This window comes from Homo sapiens, chromosome 11, assembly GCF_000001405.40.
Source record: "Homo sapiens chromosome 11, GRCh38.p14 Primary Assembly".
Classification (NCBI taxonomy): Eukaryota; Metazoa; Chordata; class Mammalia; order Primates; family Hominidae; genus Homo; species Homo sapiens.
The window spans coordinates 125,111,724-125,135,826 of NC_000011.10; the positions used below are offsets into that span (position 1 = coordinate 125,111,724).

The window sequence follows — 24,103 nt, forward strand, 5'->3', positions numbered from 1 at the left end:
CGCCTAGCGCGGCTCCCGGCAACGCCGAGCGCGGTGGGTTGGCTCGTCACCCTTCGTTACGCCCTCCGATTGGTCGGTGCCTGTCAGCCTTTGGACCGACCTCAGTTCGGTTGGGTAGCAGCGGTCCGAGCTGCACTCCCCGCCCCCCCGCCACTCCACTGTCAATCACACCATCTCTCCGTAACTCATTGGGCCATTGGTCAGTCTAGCCTGAGGGCGGGTTGTTGGGCGGAAGAGAGAGACTTCTTCCGGCCTCACTCGCTGTCACCATAGAGATTGCCCATCCAGGCAGCGAAGCAGCAGGGCCAGGCAGCTCAGATCTCGAACTCCAGAGAACTGCACAGTCATCTAGACATCAATGCCTTTTCCGGGGCCTGATGAACATCTCAATCCCCAACCCACTAGCTCGAGTGGGGCGCAAGATGTGGTGGACAAGTCAGCTCAGGCCCGGTCATTAAGTGTCCCCAACAACCCTCCTGGAGGGAACTGAGGACGAAGCACCAGTTGTAATAACGGCACGCTTCATTTATCTTTATCTCGACTTGTTTTATTTGGTATTTAATTCTTCCATTAGCCTTGCGAAACAGACAAAGGCAAAGATCATTCTACCCACGGGACAGACTGGGGAAGAGGCCCAGGGTCCATCAAGTAAACCCTCTGCCGCCAGGCTGCTGGAACTGGAGCTGGCCCACGCTATTGGCAGACTGCTGTTACCTAACTGCCAACTAAAGCTTGCCATGACTTTGCTTTGAGGCTATGGCCTGTTAGACCAAAAGATGCATCAATCAGGACAACCAAAGGAAGTAGGACAGAGGCTGCGTGCTCCACCACTGAATCAAGAAGGGGAAACAAACAATAATCAATACCAAATTGGAGAGCTGCACCGTTTGAACCTTTGACCTTAAACAAAATTTTAAGAAATATCATGAAGCAACCTATTCAATCTTAGAGCACTGAATCTCTGATTTAAGGAATTCTCCTGAATCACAGCTTTATGAACCAAAAAGAAGAAGATGCTTGAATTTCATCAACTGCACGTCTCAAATTTATTCAACTTTCGAGGCTTCATTTACAATCACATAAAGTAACCAATGATTTGTTGTGCGTTTAGCAACTTAACATTACTTGGCCCAGTGAGAAGCTCTGTGGCTAAGAAATCCTTTATTTTGATGAATTCATTTCACTGGAACTGAGTGTTGACTGCAGCTATGTTCTGTTAGGAACTGCGAAGATATACAAGAAATGAGATGTGACTCCCATCTTAATAGCCCGTGGTTTTGTAATGTTAGGTCAACAACACATGAAACAAGTAGGAAACACTTTAAAGCAAGATATAACAATGGGCCAACCCTATTGTACAATTAATTTCTCCAAAATATAATAATACTTCATATTTGCAGAACATTTCGTAGTTTCCAGAGCACTTCTTCCCTTGTATTATTTGGGGGATATTTTGTTATGGCTGGAATTAATGTGTGTGTCTTTATCATAGAGCTAGAACTAATGCTGGGTCCTAGCATATGAGTAGGAACAGGAAAGGTGGAACAGAATCCAGGAGGAGAAAGTAGTTTGAGCAAAGAGGCCAAGGCAAGAATGAGCACTGAGTATCTGGAGAATAATATGGAGACAAATGATGGAAAGTAATGTGTAGACAAGCTGGTCAGAACTGGCTCTGAGACCTTAATATTTTGGAGGAAAGTGGTCAAAAGTTCAAAGTTTGAGATTGGAAAAGTTAACTTCCTTACACTTCTAATGATCATACTGGCTTCAGTTAAGCTATAAATTAAAAATGGGCATGGCTCAACAGAACTTGAGTCCTGTCCTCTCGCTTTTCTCCTTAGGCAGCATGAGCTTCACCATTTGCTTTACCACCTCCACCAACTACCAGTCCCTGCATTCCATCCAGCCACACAGCCACAGCGTCCAGTTCATCAGCAGCACAGCCAAAGTCTATGCAGTCCTCAGGGGCTTGGGCTCCCGGACCTCAGTGTCCTTCTCCACCAGCTTCTGGAGTGGCTGGGGGTCTGGAGGCCTGGCTGCAGGGATGCCAGGGGTCTGGAAGGAATGGGGTACATCCAGAATGAGAAGGATACCATGCAAGGCCTGAATGATTGCCTGGATTTCCTACCTGGACAGAGTGAGGACTCTGGTGACCAAGAGTCAGAGGCTGGTGAGCAAAATCTGAGAGCACTTGGAGAAGAAGAGACCCCAGGTCAGAGCCTGGGGGCATTACTTCATGACCATCAAGGACTTGAGGGCTCATATCTTTGCAAATTCTGTGGACAATGCTTGTGTTGTTCTACAGATTGACAATGCCCGTCTTGCTGCTGATGACTTTAGAGTCAAGTATAAGACGGAGCTGGTCATGTGCCTGTCTGTGGAGAGCAACGTCCGTGGGCTCCACAAGGTCACTGATGACACCAATGTCACTCGGCTACAGCTGGAGACAGAGATGGAGGCTCTCAAGGAGGAGCTGCTCTTCATGAAGAAGAACCAAGAGAAGGAAGTAAAAGGTCTACAAGCCCTGATTGCCAGCTCTGAGTTGACCATGGAGGTAAATGCCCCCAAATCTCAGGACCTCAGCAACATCATGGCAGACCTCCCGGCCCAGTATGATGAGCTGGCCCAGAAGAACTGAGAAGAGCTGGACAAGTACTGGTCCCAGAAGACTGAGGAACACACCACAGTGGTCACCACGCAGTCCACCAAAATAGGAGCTGCTGAGACAACATTCATGGAGCTGAGATGTATAGTTCAGTCCTAAGAGATCAACCTAGACTCAATGAGAAATCTGAAGGCCAGCCTGGAGAACAGCCTGAGGTGGGTGGAGGCCCGCTATGCCATGCAAATGGAGCAGCTCAGTGGGGCCGTGCTGCACCTAGATTCAGAGCTGGCACAGGCCCAGGCAGAAGGGCAGCACCAGGCCCAGAAGTATGAGGCCCTGCTGAACATCAAGGTCAAGCGGGAGGCTGAGATTGCCGCTACTACTACTACTGCCGCCTGCTGGAAGATGGGGAGGACTTCAATTGTGGCGATGCCCTGGACAACAGCAACTCTATGCAAACCATCCAAAAGACTGTCCAGGATAGCGGATGACAAAGTGGTGTCTGAGATCAACAACACCAAAGTTCTGAGGCGCTGAGCCAGCAGAAGCAGGGTACACTTTGGGGAGCAGGAAGCCAATAAAAAGTTCAGAAGTCATTGGATGTCAAAAATAAATTGGTAAGTAAAAGAACGGACATGAATGAGGAAGTACTCCAAAGTTTTTTACGTCTTCCTGAATGGATATAACATTATTAGGTTTTCTCTCTCTTAAGAGGGGATCCACCTCCCAAGTACTCCCCAAATGCACCCCTTAACTAGGAGCAGGGTGTTATTAATAGTTTTCTGATTAAATGATATCATATCCTCTCAATGAGATTGAGAGAAGTGCCGTCATCATAGTGCTTCATCTTTGCTGTCTCAGAATCAAAACTGTGTCCCTCACTCTAAAAAAGACTGATTATTTGATCATCTAATTTTTCTCTTTTAAAAAATTGCCTTCCCTGGCCGGGCATGGTGGCTCACGCCTGTAATCCCAGCACTTTGGGAGGCCGAGGCGGGATCACCTGAGGTCAGGAGTTTGAGACCAGCCTGGCCAACATGGTGAAACCCCGTCTCTACTAAAAATACAAAAATTAGCCAGATGTGGTGGTGCACACCTGTATTCCCAGCTACTGGGGAGGCCGAGGCAGGAGAATCTCTTGAACCCAGGAAGCGGAGGTTGCAGTGAGCCACGATGGCGCCACTGCACTCTAGCCTGGGCAACAGAGTGAAACTCCATCTGAAAAAAAAAAAAAAAAAAGTCTTCCCCATGCCATGTTATACAGCACCTCTACGCATTGCTCCACATCTCTACTGTGTATGTATTCCTCATACTATACTTGTATAATGCACATAGGTGCCATATATGAATGCATGCCATTTTGTTAACTTATTTTCTTCTGTCATAGACAAACAAAATTCAAAGCAATAATGACAAAAACCAGTGTTTCATTTCCTCCTCAAATGTGTAAAATCACTCGTTATGCTGCCTAGTAGAGGGGAAGAGTACGAAGAGGCCACTAGGTTAGCAAGGGCATGGAGTGATTTCAAGAGAAGATATAAAGTTTTCTTGCTCATTTTATAGTTATCAAAACTTTTTCTGCCAGTGAGCCCTGAATTTTTTGTACACAATCTCTTGTGTGATTACATTAGCATTTCTACAGGTCTGAAAATATAGCAAAAACTGAAGTAATTGTTGGTCATTGGCTGAGGCTCAAAAACTACTAATTTTGCTAATTCTCAATTTTGCTAATTCAGAAACCAAGTAAACAAAAATATCTTCAACGACTGTTGTCAGTAGTTGAAGCCAAATTACTGACCTTCCAAGGCCACCCAGAATTATCACCATGATTTTCTGGATCATAATATTCATCTGATGTTATAGACCAATGGTTGCCAAACTATATGGCCTGTGGGCTTAATCTTAGCTTGTACATTCTGCAAGCTAAGAATGATATTTACCTTTTTAAATGCCTGAAAAAAAACAAAAGAAGAAAAACACTTTGTGACATATGAAAATGATATCAAATTTAAATTTTGATTTCCATAAGTAAAATTTGACTGGAACCCAGGCATGCTCATTTGTTTATGTGTTGTTTATGTCTCCTTTTGCTTTATAACAGCAGAATTGAGTAGTTACCACAAAGACTATATGGCCCATAGCCTAAAATATTTACTATTAGGCCCTTTAAGTAAAGGTTTTAATTCTTACTACCTTAGAGATTCCTAATGAATCATGTCTGATAAACTGTTGGAATTGAAACAAACTTTGGAAATCATTTAGTGTTAATTTAAAGATCTCACACTGATAGAGCTATGTTACCTCTTGCCTAAAACCACGTAGTCAGTAGACGGAGGTGGTATTAATACTAGAACCCCAGTTACCCTGGTCCCAGTTTTTTTTCCTCCAGACTGCGTTTTTCCTCATGTAGAGTTTATCTTATGATGGGATAGGTGTTACATAGGCTGGAAGCAAGGAGAATTCATCAAAATTTTTCCAAGTTTTGATCTCATGTCTCATTCCACAACTGCAGTGCGGCATGCATCAATTTATGAATCCTTGGGCTTTCATTATTTATTTCAGCCCATTTGAACTGCCTTCTGTTTTCCATTTTTCTTACTTCTCAGAAAGTATATGGCCATCATAAAGAAACTTTCTCACTTTTATGCTCTTTCTCTCTTTCAAAAATTTTTTCTCTTTCTCCTTCTATAAAGGATTTTGGAGGTGACTGAATTTCTATTCCAGCCTAAAGTTCTTAAAGGAAGTGAGGATGGTTACAAAAACAGAGAGCACCTAGTTTTGACGCTGGAATCCACAATGGGCCATATATGTGGAGAGGAGAGGGAGTGTCCTAAATTGTGTGTGTAGTGTACATGAGCATATATGGGCTTTTCCAGGGAGAGTATTCATAGCTTACATAAGATCTGTAAAAGAGTCCATGACCCAAATAAGATTTGAAACTATAGATGTAAAGGAGATATATTTTGAGGAGAAAACCGCCCAGATGTGTGGTGGTGGAGATCGATCCAGGTTCCCAGGACTGTTGGACCTCACCCAATATGAGGGGAGAGCTCTCCACCCACTTACATCAGCCCTTCCAAGCCTTACCTTTTCTGCCACATATAGAGATGATAAAAATTCATCAGATTCACAGAATGATTGAACTCAGATGGTGATGAAATCTCAGTATAATTCTTTCCAAAGAAGGTTCTGATTAATAGAAACTGTAGAGGAACTAATTTTATGAAAATAGCAAATGGGATTGTTTCATTGAAGCAAGCGGGAGAGCAGGAGCTGATGCCAAGCAGGAAGATGCAAACAACCCCATTGTGTGGAGCTGACAGCTCCAATCTTGCCGCTTATTTATTAAATGTCTTTCCGCTGTAAATTATTAAGCCTGGATTTTGGGAGATGTGGGAGCTGACAGAATAAGACAATAGAACGGAAAGCAAACCTGGAAAGCTTCCTTCAGTTTTAATGCAGTATTGTACTTTCTGAAAAGCCTTTGCCCCCCTCTGGTGTTGGAGAAGGGGGAGGATTCTCTCTTTGGTGGGACTCAGAGATGGATAAGACAAGTAACAGACTTTTAATTTCTGAATTACTTGCCAGTTCTTGAATGGTTTTCAGAGAAATCAGAATGGTTTTCAGAGAAAATTCAACCTTTTGGCTCAACATCTGAGTGCCAGATATTTTGTCTATTCTCTGAAAGGGCTGTTTCAGACGAGGAGCTTGGTTTGCCTTAACATTATGAAGTGCCGAATTACATGTTTTAGGGTGCTCAGCGGCCAGAGGATTGGGTTCATTTGGCTTATTGTGTAGCTGAGAAGGTGTCTCACTGTGGGAAAGAGTTCTAAGGTCTATTTCTTTTTTTCTTTTATTTATTTATTTATTTATTTATTTATTTATTTATTTATTTTGAGATGGAGTCTTGCTCTGTGACCCAGGCTGGAGTGCAGTGGCATGATCTCAGCTCACTGCAACCTGTGCCTCCTGGGTTTAAGACATTCTCCTGCCTCAGCCTCCCAAGTAGCTGGGATTACAGGCACGCACCACCATGCCTGGCTAATTTTTGTATTTTTAGTAGAGACGGGGTTTTACCATGTTGGCCAGGCTGTTCTCGAACTCCTGACCTCAGGTGTTCCACCCACCTCGGCCTCCCAAAGTGCTGGGATTACAGGCGCAAGCCAATGCACCCGGCCCTAAGGTCTGTTTCTTAAGCTAAAGAGTAGGAAAAGACTGATGGACAGAGAGGGAGCTGAACTTTAAGCTTGGCATCATTTGAAAAGCTGGAGTTCTGGTAAATGGGAGAGTAGCTACTTTATGTGAATTTTAGGTTCAATTTTTAGTCCTCTGTTTTCCTGACAGCATAATGGAGGTCAGTGGGCCATATTTCTTGGCCAGGCACCAGGCAAGTAACAGTATGTGCATTAGTATGGATGCATAAGAGGAAGGCCCTTCATTCATTGTGTGTCCATTCATTTGACAAATATTTATTAAGTGTTACTGTGTGCTTTGAATTGTTCTGGAAAATGGGGATAAAGAATGAACAAAACCAAGTCCTGCTCTCATGGAACTCACATTCTAGTGGGAGAAGCCAGATAATCAACAAATAAATGTGTCAGCTATCTGCTGGTTTTCAGTGCTATGAAGAAGTAAAGTGAGGAAAAAGAACAAAGAGTGATGAAGGGGCATGTAGGGTGAGAGGGCACCATTTTACATAAGGTGGTCAAGGCAGACCTCTCTGATAAGGTGACATCTTAGCAGTGACCTGAAGGAAGTGAGTGAGCTCGTAGCTATTGGGGGAAGACCTAAGGGTTGAGCAGGCATAAGAGGCCCTGAGACAGGCAGGCACTGGGTGTACTCCAAGAACTGCAAAGTTGGGGGAGGATCTCCATAGAGGGCCCTGTGGGCCACTGAGGGAGCTTGAACTTTCTTCTGAGTAAGATGGGAAGTTGAAGGAGTTTTGAGCAATGGTGTGACAAGATCAGACTTACCAAAAACCAAAAAGAAAATGTAAAGCCCAATAACAGTTAATGCAGTCTATGGTCAGGGGGGCCTAATTCCCACAATACCAAGCCCTTGGATGATTCCTCCCCACCATGTGGAATGGGAAGGCTCATTTCAGTTCTCTGGAGGGCAGGCAGGATTTCTCTGTTATCTGTAAAATGACATCCTTTCCTGGAGAGTGCCAAGGGTGATGATAATCTGGGGTTAATGTCCCTTTGTTATATACAATAGGAGGAGGATATAAAGCCATCAAACATCAAAAGAGAGAATCTGTCCCCATTGGCCCTGCCCAGCCGCTGGGTTTACCATCTGAGCATCTTTTCTAGGGAGCAGATATCAACTGGCTGGCCAGAGGAAGATTCTGTGGGTTCTGATCCCTTTGGCTCTTGCAAAGGAGAGGACCTATGCCTCAGAGGCAAAATACCAGGCAACAGTTAGGGGGATCTATATTGCAAACTCGGCTGGAGCCTGTAGAGAAACATTTGGTGGTGGGGGTTAGGAAACTCATGATACTTTATGGGAAAGTGTAAGAGTATTAGAAGAACCACAGGGTTCCTGTATCAGCAGATGTCTTGAGGCATCGTTACAGCCCGTGACAAGGCTGAGCCCGCACTTCCTTATGAAATTTGAAGTTCACTGTGCAGCTGGAAAGTATTCCCATTCAGGTGGGTTCACACCAATGACCACTGTCTATCTGTTCTATCCCACAGAAAGGTATTTCAGAACAAGGTCAAGCTGAAGCTGTGAGTAGTGTGACCACTGTTCTTGAGTTGTGAGTAAGAGGACATGGCCAGACTCAGAACTGAGAGATTTTAAAATATGGGGACAAATCTTATTTGAGCTCTCAGCTGCTCAAATTGAAAAGCTTTTTTACAGATCAGTGCTGTATTCTAGGACTGAAAGGCCAAATAATTGGGATGGAGATCTAAGAGCTAAATCCGGATTAGGAATAGAATATTTGCAGAAGCTCACAAATACCTAGGTGTGGCCCAGCTTGGGAGTGTAGTCTCACAAATATTCCACTTTTTCTTTCTTTTCTTTTTTTTTTTGGTGAGTGGCACTGTCCATAAGGAAGAGAAGAAGCCTTGAAGATTTCAGTTCTGGGACTTTCTGCCCCAGAACCCTGTTTTGCTAACCTCTGTGGCATCATGCCAAACAATTCTCAATGGAAAATATTGACATTATGAGTTTGCTACAAAAACTCAGAGACCCTGAAGGCAGTAGATGTGATTTAAATTAATAAATGATGATACATGGACTCACTGCTTTGATTACATAGCCAGTGAGGCCCCCAGGTTGAGACAGTCAAGGGGCATTAGCCAGCATGTAAGCAGGGGACAGGGAGAAGAAAGGAGGGGAGTGACAAAGGGCAGGAGACTTGAGCAATGAAGAGAATGAAGCCAAACCCCCTAAAGAAAAAAGGAAGCCCAGTGTGCAGTACTTTAGGTGGTACATGGTTGAGAGGGATCGCCATGCCTTCAACTGGTCAAAATTTCCCACACCCTCTATTTCTGAAGGTCATTGCCCACTGGGTAGACTCCAGATTCTGCCTGATCCCTTGGTCATGTTTTGACCTAAGGAATAAAGGCCTGATGCAATTCACTTCAAAAGCTGAGCATTCTCCCATCCATCAGGCAGAATCTAGAAATGGGGGATAGGGAGATAAGACACAGCCCCTTTCTTCACATTGTTCACATTCCACTGTGTGACGCAAACAAGAAAAACCAAGAGGTAGCAAATTGAGGGTGCTTCCTAGGTACAAGGAGGAAACTAGAGGGCTTGGGGATGGCTTCCAAGGTGACATTTCCAAGGTGACACAGCCTCTCTGGATGAATGCATATTAGCCAAAGTGAGCAAGTGGGAAAAGGTTCCAGGCACAAGAAATAGCATGTGCCAACACTGAGTGGTGTGAGAGAGCATGGCAGAACAGGTGCTGGGCAAGCAGCGTGGAATGTGTTTGGTATGGGGTGTACTGGGGCTGAAAGCAGGGGAGGCAGTAGAGGCAGATGATCAGGCAGGAGGTCGTTGGGATCTGGATCACAACAGCTTAAATGACATGATAAGGAATTTAGACACTATCCTGCAGATTCTGTTGAGCCACTGAAAGATTTTACAAAGGAGGGTATTTATGCTTCATAAAACAAAACAAAACAACAAAAAACCTCTTTTTCCTTGAATCGCTTATCTAGTCTTTGACCTCTGCTTGAGCATGTTCAAGGCTGGGGAGCTCCCAACCCCCCAAAGCTGCCCACTTCACTGTTGGATGACCAGAAATTTTAGAAAGTTCTTTCTTACACTGAGCCAAACTCTGTCTCCTCACAATTCCTACTCTTCCTGTCTAGTTTTACCATTTGTAGCAACACATAAAAGGCCATTTAAAAATACATGAAGACGCCTCTCAAACCTTCCCTTAGTTTTCAGTTTTTCAAGTGTCCAGGTTTCCACAGAGCTCCCTCATTCTTTGTCTATTTCATGGTTTCTAGACTCCTTTACCATTCTAGTCACAGTTTTCTGGATGAACTGTGCTTTATTAATGTATCTTCTAGAATCTTGTGGTAGAATTGCTCATAATACTTTAAATCGGCCCTGAAAGGCAGGAAGTGCAGTGATGCTACTACGATGCTTCTTCTGAGCTGGACGCCTATGACCATTAGTGATTCCAATGTCCTTAGATTGTTACTGGTCACATCTCACTGCTTTTAAAGCTTTTGATTAACCAAAGCATCTAACTCTTCTGCACATTAGTTGCTGCCATGTCAAATCTCCACCATACTTGGTATGTGCAATTTATTTTTTAAATTTACATGTAGGCCTTTACACTTATTTAAATTTTACCTTGTCAGTTGGAGCCCAACATTTGAGGCAGTTAGACTCATCTTTAAAGTCTTATTTTTCTTTCCTATGATATCAGTATGTCTCATTTCACATCTGATAAAAATTCTTTGTATGTTTTAATCCAAGTCACTAATAAAAATGCTGCCTTGGATAGAACTTGGTAGCATTGGAGACCTCCTCCCAGTATGTGTTCAGGCAGCTTCAGTTTTCCTAATGACGCACTGTACAACATTATTCACAATGTTGAAGATTTATTAAACATTCTGTTGAAATCCTGAGAGATTTATTAAATATTCTGTTTAAATGAAGTTACATCATATTTGGTATTTCCTCTCATTCACATCAATAAACATATATTGGTTGGTCTCCTATCTTCTAGGTTCTTTGTTAGGTGTTGTGGAAACAAAAATGACCAAGATATTAGTTTTGTCTTAAAGAGATGACATCTAGCAGAGGCGACAGACATATAAACACCAGATCCAAATTAATACAGGTATAGTTAATGTATGTGTTACCTCTAATTTGCATTAAAGGGATAGATATAGATGATAGATAGAAATATACAATATAATAGATAATGTATCATCTCATATGTATTATATTATACAGTAGCAGTATAAACAAAGTATATTGAAAACCTAGAGAAAAAGGAGATTAATTCTTCATTGTGCAGAAAGAGAAAGGAGGGCTTCACACAAAAAAGTGACATTTGACTGAGCCTTGAAAATACAGAGTTTTTTTTAGGCCGGGCATGGTGGCTCATGACTGTAATCCCAGCACTTTGGGAGGCAGGTGGATCATTTGAGGTCAAGAGTTCAAGACCAGCCTGGCAAACATAGTGAAACCCTGTCTCTACTAAAAACACAAAACAATGAGCCAGGTATGGTGGCATGTGCCTATAATCCCAGCTACTCAGAGGCTGAAGTATGATAATCGCTTGAACCCAGGAGGCAGAGGTTGCAGTGAGCTGAGATCACACCACTGCACTCCAGCCTGGGTGACAGGATGAGACCCTGTCTCAAAAAAAAAAAAAAAAAGAAAGGGAAAGAAAAGAAAATACATAGGGTTTTTGTGAGATAAGTAGAGAATGGAGATAGGAAGAAATTCCAGAGTGGAGAAATAGGAGAAGCAAAGCATAGAAAAGTGAATGTCTTTGGCATGATTCAGAAATAGCAAATATTCTAGTGTGAGTTAAGGACCAGGTTCAGGGAAATGAGTGTCAAGAGCTGAAAAGTGTGTGAAGGGTCTTGAATGCTATGATAAGGAATTTTGGCTTTATTCTGTAGGTGAAGGGTTTAGCTAAGTCAGAAGTATTTAAGCAGGAGAGTAAATAACACAATCAGATTGATCAACTTCATAACTCTATTGCACAAGGAAATAAGTTCAATTTAGCAAAACTTATTCTTAATGAATCCACTTTGGTTCTAGCATGAATTGACCACTAAACATCTGATTAACGAGTACGTCAAACTTTTTGTGTGTGTTTTGCCCTGCTATTATGTTTTTCCTGACTTTCACTTTGACCTGTTGGCCTCTTGGCTTTATTTTTCCCTTAGGCATCTGGGTTCTGCATTCCCTTGATTTATTTGTCCACCCACAGCTTGCTCTGACCTTTATTATTTAACGTGTCCTCTGACTTTGGCTCACTTACTGGATTCTGAGCCACGGCAATTCCTTGACCTCAGTCCTGGATTTGCTTCTGCTTTGGAATTCCCACCTGATTTCAGTTGCCCAATTGTGCTGTGACCTCTGCATTCTGTCCTGCCTTGGATCTAACCTGGTCTCATCCTTTGTGTTGCTGTCTCTGCCTCAGTTCTTCTAGTCTAGCTCCCCAGCCCGCAAGTTATACACACTGTTTGCTCACCTGGGCTCCAGTACTGGCAATAAAATGTAACCTGTCCTTTCTAGAAGCTGTGGTGTGGTTGAAGAGATAGTGCTAACATGCAAGAAATTATAAATTCTAACTGATTGCCAAATTGGACGTGCTAACTGAAAGTGTTATACGAACTTAGAGAAAAGACTGAACTGGGAAATTCAAGACCCTTAGGAGTAATGTTCCTTTCTAGGCAACTTCCTTTCTGAAAGATTTTGCTATCTGGAGCACGGGCTTTTCTTTGGAAGGAGAAAGGGAAATGTAAGGCAGGACTTCCTCTGGACTTTCCTATCATTGGTTCCAAAGCTGCCTATCTTTGAGGAGCTACCTTGTCGGTGCCACCTAGTGGCTGCTGCCACCAGAAATCCTACCCGCCTCAAGGAGAGAGCAATTTAACGCCATTTCCAACTTAAGCACCATATCTACAGGGCGTGAAATTAGTTCCAGCAAGCAGCAAATTTGCTGCTAATAAAAATATTTAGCGATTCACTTGTCTTTAAATCAGCAGCAGAATATTCTTTTACTTGCATCAGTGCTTGTTTCTCCCAATTCTAATATTTGATAATCAAGCTAGACGTGTTTAGCTAAAGCTATGAAACAGCAAGTTCTTCAGTTCTGCAAAAATTTTTTAGTTTCCTGAGCAAGAATTTTTATTTCCTTTTTTCTCTTTGTCAGAAATAGGCCTGGGTGTTCCTTGGATCATAGAGATGGAGCACTTCCACTGATTTCAGAGTCTTAGAAATAAGCTTTCATTCTCTTCTGTCTGCCAACATTAGCTCCTGAGTCACTGCATGTGGATAATCTGGGATGTTACAGGAAGACATGATCTCTAGCTCATGTTTAGACACTTCCTTTTTTTTTTTTTTTTTTTTTGAGACAGGGTCTTGCACTGTCACCCAGGCTAGAGTGCAGTGGCGTGATCTCGGCTCACTGCAACCTCCGCCTCCCAGGTTCAAGCGATTCTCCTGCCTCAGCCTCCCAGGTAGCTGGGACTACAGGCATGTGCCACCACGCCAGGCTATAGACACTTCTTTACTCTGTCTCAGTGCCAAACTCATTTTAGTTCCTTTTCTGTGTCTTTTAGCCTCTACACCAGAGCAAGAGTTCTCTGAATCCCACAGAGATATTGTAGAATGCTAAAACTACTTTTTCATTAAAGTCGACGAGTATTTATTGGGCACTTTCCATGTGCATCCATTGTTCTAGGTCCTGTTTGGGGTCAGAAGTGTTCCAAGAAGCCCAGCATGACAGCCAGATGAGAAACTGACATGGCAGATGACACCTCTTCTCCAGGTTGCTGGAACAGTGGGTCAGATAGACTTCTATGTATTTTTCTTCTCCTTAAGGAGCTCATAGAAGGAACAAAGTGCATCGGACATTCTACCCTTCATCAGTTTATTAGTCTAAGGGTCTCTGTTTGAGCAGATCACTAGTTCCAAAGACCAAATAATCTTTCTTTCTTTTTTTTTTTTTGAGATTGATTCTCCCTCTGTCGCCCAGGCTGGAGTGCAATGGCACAATCTTGGCTCACTGCAACATTCCCCTCCCAGATTCAGGTGTTTCTCATGCCTCAGCCTCTGGAGTAGCTGGGATGACAGATGTGCACCACCACACCCAGCTAATTTTTCTATTTTTAGTAGCGAGGGGATTTTGCCATGTTGGCCAGGCTGTTATTGAACTCCTGGCCTCAAGCAATCCACTTGCCTCTGTCTCCCAAAGTGCTGGGATTACAGGCATGAGCCACCATGCCTGGCCCCCAATAATCTTAAAAAAGAGTATAGTGGCCCCATGGTAACTCTGTCTTCTGCCCCAGAACAGCCCTGGCTGGATTATCCTCCTGGTAGAAATCAATTTTGATCATCCTGGCAGGAAATCAGGATACAGGGCAGCTTCAGACAGGAGTACCACATCCTTCTCAGAAATCAACCAACATGAGATGCTGAGTGAAAGCTGGTCTCTTGGTTAAGAGACGGATGTAGGCAGGGCTGGTAACAAGTAGTTAGAATCAAAGACTCAAACTAAACCTGCTAGCTAACACCAGCTTCACTGATGGAGATACCAGAGCAGGTAGGTTGCAGAGAGGTAATGACATTTGACAATGGTCAAGAGACCAACATGGAGGTTCTCATTGGAGCCTCCAAAATGGAGGCTCTCTTGTTGGAGCTACAATGGTTTGGGGATCAGAGCATCTGGGCTCTATTCTTGGCCTTTTCTCTCAAGTTCATGACTCTAATACAGCCCCTTCTCCCCTTTGGCATTAGTTTTCTCATCTATAAGAAGGGGTAATGAATTTTACTCCCCATCCCAGGTCCCCTTACTGCAGTATGAGAAGGGTGAGATAGGGACTATTTTAAAGGGCTGTGAGAGAGTCTCCAGAGAGGGCTGTGATGAACATCTGTATTCCTCATGGAATGGACAGCCCAGGAGGATGGTACATTTAAGTAAGACAAAGCAAGACTCTTCTAATGGTAAGAGATGTAAGACCAGTAAATTGGATCACGTGCCCTGGATGATATGTAATTCCCTCATAGTGCTCTAGCCTCAAAATCCCAAATATTGGTGAGGATCTCCCAAAGCTGCTAATGTCAAAAACTTTGATTTTACTGTAGTTAAAGTGATGGAAATCATTAGCTTTAAATTACTGGGGAAATATAAAAGATGATTTGAGGGGTAAGCTCTATCAATTATGTACTTAAGCAAGAACCAGACTCAAGATCAGGAAAAAAAAAATAAATAAAACCAAATACGTTCATAATTAGAATAAAAATGTTCTCCAGTCCTGGTCCTGTCTTTCTCACATGTCCATATGTAATCAAGAAAGGCTTTCCAAGAGTGAATATCCAAGGAAACAGGTAACTTGGTGGATGCAGATTGAACCTAAGGCATCTAGGATGGAGCAGAGCAGAAGTCCACTGGGGAGCAGGGAACATAAGCAGCAGATAAAGGAGCTATGAGAAGAATTGGAGAGAAAGGAGGGAGCTGGCAGATGAAAGCCCTGGGGACTTCTGTGAGTCCCTTGACCCTAGAGGCAGAGCTGCCAGAGGCTGAAGAGAGGAACGAGGAGACCAGAGCAAGGGTGCAAGCTCTTTCTGCAGGGCAGCCTGGTCCGTTGGCAGTCTCCCAGTTGCTTCTCATCTTAACGTCCTTTAGGTCAGTGGTTTGCTTCTCCATTTCCCATTCCAGCAGCTTTACCTTAGCCAGCTACCACACAGGCAAGAGATCACAAGCCTACAGCCCTCTTGCTGTCGGGTGCCAGAGTTGGGTCAAAAGTCATGCAGATTCTGTGGATGAATTAAGGTGTCTAATTCATGTATGTTTCTCAGTCATTTCTCTTGACAGCATGAATCATGGGCCAGTCATCAGGATTCCCAGAGTTCTCCTTGACGGATGCACATGAAAGGTAGTGCCTTAGCAGCACCTCCGCAAAGTCCTGATAAACTCAATCCTAGGAGGTTGGTAATTCCAAACCTAGGCTGAGCAGAGCACATGATCAGGGATCAGTAGTCAAAAAGGCCTTTATGGATAGAATGAATAGTGCTCAGGGGCATTCACTTATTCTGCCATCTCAGAAAGGGACACGGGTAATGCGTTGGTTCATAAAACAGGCTGGGCATTTGCAGAATTTCTAAGTGGTTAGATTGATGATCTTCATTAAAACTAGTTGTCTCAGAGGTCATAGATCAAGTACTGTAGTTTTTCTTTAAGGCAAGTTTGATCACCTCCCTGCTCCTTAGCATCAAGGATATGGATTATTGAAATCAAGACTGGATATTGTGTATGAAGGGGAGGAGATATGTGCAGTACGAGACTGTCAAAAAAAAAAAAAAACAAAAAAAGCCTCTGCTGGGACACAACACTCAAGAATGGGAAGGTCATTTGAAGAGTGTCAAAATGAGAAATAGAAGCAACTTTTAGAGGTCCCTTAAAGGCAGCAAGGCATCCTAATAATAATACAGGTACTCTTGTCCAACTGCTTCGGTTGGAATCCTGGCTCTACCCCTTACTGGCTGTGTGATTTTACTTTACCTCTCTGTGTTTCTGTTTCTTCATCTGGAAAACTAGAAAAAAGTTACCTACCTCAAAGGTTAGTTTAAGAAAGTAAATGTTAGATATTAACACCTTTAGTGATTGACCCATAGCAAATGTTTGCAAAGCTCCTCAAAATGAACCATTCTATTTATATAGGCTCTCTCTGCTTAGTGTAACTAGAAAACTTAAAAAAAAAAACCCAATTAGATTGACTACACATTTACGCTATTTAAGCTTGAGGGACAGGCTATACAGCTGCTGGAAAATTGTACCTATTTCTTGTTGACTTTTAGTGAAATTCCCTTAATAATTGTTCATCTAAAGCATGGTTTCTCAACCTTGGCACTATTAACATGTTGGGCAGAATACTTCTTTGCTGTGGGGGTTTTTCTGTGTACAGGTGATCTCTCCCTTAGTTGCAGAGGATATGGTCCAAGACCCCCAATGGATTCCTGAAGCCACAGACAGTACCAACCCCTATATATACTATGTTTTTTCAATCTGTTAACTAAGACGGCTACTAAGTGAGTAATGGGGCAGCAGCAGATACAGCTAGATACACTGAAAAAAAGGATGATTCACATCCCTGGCAGGATGGAGTGAGTTGGTGCAAGATTTCATCGTGCTACTCAGAACAGCTGGCAATTTAAAACTTTTGAATTGTTTATTTTTGGAATTTTTCTCTTAATATTTCTGGACCACAGTTGACCGTGGGTAATGGAAACTGTGGAAAGTAAAACTGGGGAAGGGAAGGCTCTACTGTATTTTGAATTGTAGGGTGTTTAGTAGACTCCCCGGCCTCTGCTTACGAGATACCATGTCCCTTCCTGACAACCAGACATGTCTCCAGACATTGCCAAACATCTCTTGGGGGCAGGCGGCAAAATCACCCCTGGTTGAGATGCACTATTTTCTTTCTTCTTCAAGTTTGCAATCTCACCTTCAGAAACCCACTTTCGGTTGATAATTATGTCTCCTGTTTTCCTTAAAAAGACGTCATCTGATCTAGGTTTTAAAAATATCCCTTTCTTACCATTCAAAATTCTTCCAGATAGTCACCCAACCCTTCCTCTTCTCCTTTAGTCTAGAATTGCCCTCTTTTTCAAGACGAATCACCGCACGTACATCTTTCCTTAAAGTCCATCCCAGCCATGCTGGCCGCCCGCTGTCAGTTACAGCGCTTCTCTGCTTCTTAGTCATCTGGCTTAGACACCATTTCCACTTTTTTTTCCCAAACACCTTTAAGACCTTTAGTTATCTTCATTAAGCTACTAGCCTTTTTTTCCCTCCGTTTAATCATCATGTTTATCTGAAAACTAGACATCAACAACAGCTAGTCTTTGTGGAGCACTTACAATGTGCAGGCGTCGTCAGGGAGGTGCAGGCGCCTCAGCCCCCGTGGTATCTTGACTTCTGCGTTAACTGGCTTTCCACCCTTGCCCAGCACGGTTACTTTCTCAATGATCACCGAACCGCGCAATCCGACGGCCGTTTCTTGGTCTTCGCTTCTTCACCGTCTCTAAAGCTCTTAACACTGTTGAGCACCCTTTGGTTGAAACTGTTTCTTCCCTAGGATTTTAATTTCTCTGGGATTCAATTTAGTTAGCTGAAAGTTGGAGGATTTAATTTAAGTAAGTGATTTCTAAGACCTCCTTTGGTGCCTGAATCCTATACATTTAAAAGCCTCTTGGTTTCTGTTTGCCAGACAGCTGCGCTCAGAATACCCTACTTCAGAACCCCAGAGGCCCAGGAGAGGGGCGGGCAGAGGGGCGCCCCCGCCACCGGGCACTGCTGAGGTGACCTTTATCTAGATCTTCCGTGCAAGCCTCTAACATTCTCAAGCTTTGCTTTTTTCCCCAACCACTGTCATTATTCAAACACAGGCTGAAAACGATAGAGTGATTTCTTTTGTTTATGTGTGTTTTATGCTTCCCTTTCCCTTGCTGTCCACGTAATCAGCCCCCAAATCCAGCTTCCTGAGCATGTCTGAACTCCATCTCCTGATTTTCATCTCCGGCAGCCATTATCCTAACCCAGGGCTCCTTATCACCCTTTTAAAATTAATTTTTACTTACAGCATTTAACTCCATATTTTCTAAAAGAAAATTCTGCTTCTAATTGTTGATTTCCACCCCCCAACTTTGACATTATTGTTACCTTCTTCCTCTGGAAGATGATAATTTAACTCTCTAACACATATGACACACACACACATATATATATACACACATAACACATATATATACACGCATAACACACACAACACACACATATATATGCACATATAAGAAACACATATATGCATATAACATGTAACACATTTATACACATACAACACATACACATATATGCATATAACACGTATATAGGCACATATACCTACACAACACATACACATATATACACATATAACACATACATACATACACATGCAATACATACACATATAATACATACTCATATAATACATAAATACACATAACATACTTATATTAACACATAATACATACATATATGCATATAACACATACATATACACACATAATAAATACATATATACTTATAAAACATACATGTATACACATGTAATACATATATACACATATAATACATGCATATATACAAATATACATAAATATATACACATAATACATACATATATACACTTATAATACATATATACACATATAACACATACATATATACACATAAAATACATACATATATAAACATATAACACACACAGACATATATATATATATATATATATATATATATATGCTTCTCCCTCAATCCTCCTAATTTAGTTACTCTATAATTTTTGGTCAAATTGGTATTCAGTATTCATAGTATTGTGACTATGGAAATACTGCCTATAACTAAGTCATGTGGTATACCGTGATTACATTTCCTTTCTTGTATGTTTTCTTTTTTTTTTTTTAGTTGGTTCTTTGTTCATTTGCTTAGTTTTTTTATTTTTATTATACTTTAAGTTCTAGGGTACATGTGCACAATGCACAGGTTTCTTACATATGTATACATGTGCCATGTTGGTGTGCTGCACCCATTAACTCGTCATTTACATTAGGTATATCTCCTAATGCTATCCCTCCCCGCTCTCCCCACCCCACGACAGGCCCCGGTGTGTGATGTTCCCCTTCCTGTGTCCAAGTGTTCTCATTGTTCAATTCCCACCTATGAGTGAGAACATGCGGTGTTTGGTTTTTTGTCCTTGCAATGGTTTGCTGAGAATGATGGTTTCCAGCTTCATCCATGTCCCTACAAAGGACATGAATGCATCCTTTTTTATGGCTGCATAGTATTTCATGGTGTATATGTGCCACATTTTCTTAATCCAGTCTATCACTGATGGACATTTGGGTTGGTTCCAAGTCTTTGCTATTGTGAATAGTGCCACAGTAAACATACATGTACATGTGTCTTTATAGCAGCATGATTTATAATCCTTTGGGTATATACCCAGTAATGGGATGGCTGGGTCAAATGGTATTTCTAGTTCTAGTTCCTTGAGGAAATTGCCACACTGTCTTCCACAATGGTTGAACTAGTTTACAGTCCCACCAACAGTGTAAAAATGTTCCTATTTCTCCACATCCTCTCCAGCACCTGTTGTTTCCTGACTTTTTAATGATCGCCATTCTAGCTGGTGTGAGATGGTATCTCATTGTGGTTTTGATTTGCATTTCTCTGATGGCCAGTGATGATGAGCATTTTTTCATGTGTCTGTTGGCTGCATAAATGTCTTCTTTTGAGAAGTGTCTGTTCATATCCTTCACCCACTTTTTGATGGGGTTGTTTTTTTCTTGTAAATCTGTTTGGACAATTCCAGTGAAGAGCTTACTTCCTCACCGGCTCACCCATTCTATTATTGCACGGGTCTGTTTGTTAGAAGGTCCTTTCCTATATGGCACTGAAATACCACTCTTGAAACTTCCAACTATTGACCCAAATTTTGACCTGTGATCTTCAAATTAAAATTTGAATCTCTCTTCCTTATGATAGCACGTTTTACAATTGAATTAATGCTACTGTGTGCTCCCTGGATATTCTCTTCTTCTAGCAAAAAATCCCAAATTCCTTCAGTCATTTTTTATCTGGCATTGCAAATTGGATAATGTCCAAAATAACCACACTCCTACATTTAGGACCTTCTGTGATATGACTCCAACCTCCTATTATGACATCATCTCTCATCTTCTACTTTTGCCATGCACTCCAGACAAAAACTTGCCTTTTCTTGTCTTTGTTTACATCCTGTTCTCCTCCTGGGATACCCCTCTCATCTCTTCCTGCTAAAATCATTTCCATCAAAAGACAAGGGCTGATGATACATACCAAACTGTTACAGTAGTTACTTTGAGGGATGGAATGGGATGGGTGAAGGGGAATACTGATATCTTACTTTATATATTTTTTAAAAGGCAGTACAATTGTTGATGCTCTTATTTTTTATGCTGGTCAATGTATTTCCCAAATATAATAAAATTAACTTAAAAATCAACAACAAATACTAGCTCTCAGTTGCAATTCATTTCAAAAGCTGTAGGGCCCTGGAAGCCTTCTTTGATTCTTCCCTCTGGAGTGAATTTCCTTACTCTGACACCCAAAGCATCTGGGGAGTGACCTTCTTATTGCTGTCATCACGCTACACTTTCATCGTAGGTATTGTGTGCAAGCCTTCCCTTTCTAGCAGGCTGCAAGCTCCTGGAGACCAGAGATCGTCTTACGTATTGCGGAAGCCCCTGCCTTATGTGCTGCATAGCAGGAGCTCCATACATTTTTGTTGAAAGAGTGAGTCAGTGAGTTCGCATTATAATTTTTTTATGCTCCTTCAAACATGCTCCTCTATATTTCTTTAAATTAAGGAGAGAGAGAATTGTGGGCACTCCAGCCTGTGATGAGCCATTCCCATAGATCACTCGGCCTCTCCGGAGGGACTAGACTTCTCTCCGCAGCCTCGTCTTCTTCAGTGCCTGGGTGTGTGAGTTCACCGAGACTCTCAGAAACCCTGAAGAGGGTGAAGGACTCTGGAAGTAGGGTTGGGGCAGTGGAGCGGAGATGGGCTGAGTCAGGGCCCAAGAAAGTGAACATGTCTCCATCACAGAAGAATATGGAACCCATGACACCTGAGAGTGAGCAGAGGGGAGAGGCGGGATGCAGGGGGTGTGGAAGGCAGGGCCTGATGTCCAGCTCTGTGAGGCAGAACAAGCTGCACCCCAGATGTGAGGAGCTGGTCCCCACAAGTGTCGGAAAGTGCCAGTCCTGCTCCTATGGCGCTGCAGCCAATAGCAAGACCAGGATCTCTGTCTGCTGAATCTTGGGCTGTTCCCTGCCTGAGGTGGAAACACGTTCTCTGTCTCTGTCTCTCTTTCTTGCACACACACATCCCAACACACACACCACTCTACCCCACCACACATACCCCACACCCTTTTGCTTCCTCCTTCCCTGGCTGGGCAGGATGGAACCATCTCTCACAGCTCCTTGCAGCAAGAATAGACTAGGGCCAAAGGAGAACCACCCCCTCGATCCCCTGATTCTTGAAGATGTCCCCAGTTACAAGGACAAAAAGCATGAGTCCTTGATCATCACTTGTTTCCAAGTTTGTTACTTCATCACCACTGGCGTGTGGGCAGAAGATTAACTAACGTTGAGCTACAAATTGAACAAGGGAGGGACACCTTGCATATGGTCACAGGCAGATGTTATGTTTCCCATCTTTTTATTTTACATTTTAGACTCTGGGGGCACGTAATGAAGTTGATCATACTCCTCATTTGATGGTGTGTTGTCATCATTGTTGATAATTTTCTGAATTCTTGTTTTCCCGAGTTCTTATTTTCCCCATCCCATTTCTGTTCTCCTTTCCCCACTAAAGGCTCTCACTCTTGATGATTTAATGTGTCTTTTAGATGGGGCTCTCTGGAATCAAGTTCTGAGATGGGAGTGACATGCAGATTTATTTGTGAGTGCCCTCAGGAGATACACTTGTACGGAAATAAGGAAGGTCAGATTGCACTGGAGGGGAAGGGGATCCCCCTGTGGTTGCAGCTGAGCTGGGCCCTTCATTGCTTTTGCACACTGAAGCAAAGGGGATCAGTGTTTTATATCTTGGAATCAGCCAGTGACCACTGGCCTTTCCCTAGGAGAAGCATAACCTTAGGCGAAGCAGTTCCTTATGGCCGAGCAATTCCCCTTAGGGACACTGCCGTGCACCTCAGTACAAATATTCTCAGCAGCCAAGGACTCAGGTGGATGGGCCTGAAGCAGGGCTGCGGGTCAGCACCACCTCATCCACTGTAATGTCCTTCTGATCCACCTTCTTTAAGTTTATTCTTGAGATACGTATACTGCTGCTTTGTGTCTTTAAAAAAATTCCGTAATTGGTATCATGCTATAAATTTATTCTCACTTCCCCTTCCTCCCAACTCTGATTTGGAGCCCTAGCCACGTTGCTGTACATGGATCTATCACATTCCTTCATACCACTGCACAGTGTTTCATCATTTCTGTTAACTGCAATTCACCCTTCCATTCCCCTGGTGAAGAGCACCCACGTTGCCACCAATACTTTGCTACCACTATTGGCAAGGGATGAACTTTTTTGTGCTTATGTGCCAGTTTCTCTAGGGCATATAAACCCACCAAGAGACAATGCTGGGTCATAGGCTATCTGCATTTCTCCTTCCACTACGTTCTACTACACGGTGCTCCTAAATAACTGCTCCGGCGTCCACCTTCATCAGCTGTTCCTGGTGAACATCTTTGCTAGCACTCGGCATTATCAGGCGTTCTAATGTTTACTAATTTGTTAGATGTAAAGTGGGATCTTATTTTTGTTTTGTGTTTTTCATATTACTCATGAAATTAAGCATCACTTCAAATACTTATTAGGCTTTAAGACTTCCCTTTCTGTGAACTACCTACTCATTTACTTTGCCCGTTTTTCTATTGTTTCCTGTCCGTTTTTTTTTTTTTTTTTTCCTAATTTGTTGGGATTCCCTGAACAATTGCTAGTTGCAAATGTCTTCTTCCAGGCATTACCCATCTGTTAACTCTGTCGATGGTGTACTTCACTGAACAGAAATCCTTAATTTGGGTGTAAAATTCATCCATTTTTCTCTTTATGGTTTTGCTTTTGGATCTTGTTTAAAATATCTTTTCCTGCTTCAAGGTCACAATATACTATCATATATTTTCTTCTGTTAGTTTATGGCTTTGCCTTTCATATTTAGGTATTGAATCCATATAAGGTTTATTTTCATATCCAGTAATAAGATAGATATTTGAACTTATTTCATCACTTATAAAATACTTCATCTTTTCACCCTTTGATTTATGATGCCAGATTCACCATATGCCAGGTTTTCATGCACACCTAAGTCTATCTGGACTTGCACATTGTACCAGCCCGTTTATCTGTTCTGTGCCTACCACACTCTTTCAATAACTCTGTTCTTGTGATATTTCTTAGTGTCTGGTATAGTCTGATCCTTTCTTTTGCTCTTCTTTTTTTTTTTTCTTAAAAAAAAACTTAGCATTAGTTGACTTGTATTCTTCATCACCAATTTTTAAATGATTGTCAAATTCATCCCCCTCTACCCAGTCTACTGGGATTCTTATTGGAATGAATTAAATTTACATGCTATTTTGGGGGAATTGGCATTGTATAAAGCCATCCCTTTCATAATTATGAAAGATTCTTTCATTTATTCAGGTTTTCTTTTATGTCTGCTAATAGGGTTTAAAATCTT

At 42.3% G+C, this 24,103-nt stretch overlaps 1 pseudogene, besides 3 other annotated features; it reads left to right on the forward strand.

Annotated features, from left to right (window-relative positions):
• Positions 43–955: an enhancer, noted in NCBI's record as "H3K27ac-H3K4me1 hESC enhancer chr11:124981662-124982574 (GRCh37/hg19 assembly coordinates)". NCBI's record gives its function as "activates a minimal SCP1, AML or CMV promoter by ChIP-STARR-seq in naive and primed H9 embryonic stem cells {active_cell/tissue: H9 hESC(naive and primed)}" and the evidence as "EXISTENCE:reporter gene assay evidence [ECO:0000049][PMID:30033119]".
• Positions 158–227: a silencer, noted in NCBI's record as "silent region_4038". NCBI's record gives its function as "represses an Ori minimal core promoter by ATAC-STARR-seq in GM12878 lymphoblastoid cells {active_cell/tissue: GM12878}" and the evidence as "EXISTENCE:reporter gene assay evidence [ECO:0000049][PMID:35858748]".
• Positions 318–497: an enhancer, noted in NCBI's record as "active region_5695". NCBI's record gives its function as "activates an Ori minimal core promoter by ATAC-STARR-seq in GM12878 lymphoblastoid cells {active_cell/tissue: GM12878}" and the evidence as "EXISTENCE:reporter gene assay evidence [ECO:0000049][PMID:35858748]".
• Positions 1,805–3,206, forward strand: KRT18P59 (keratin 18 pseudogene 59; annotated as a pseudogene).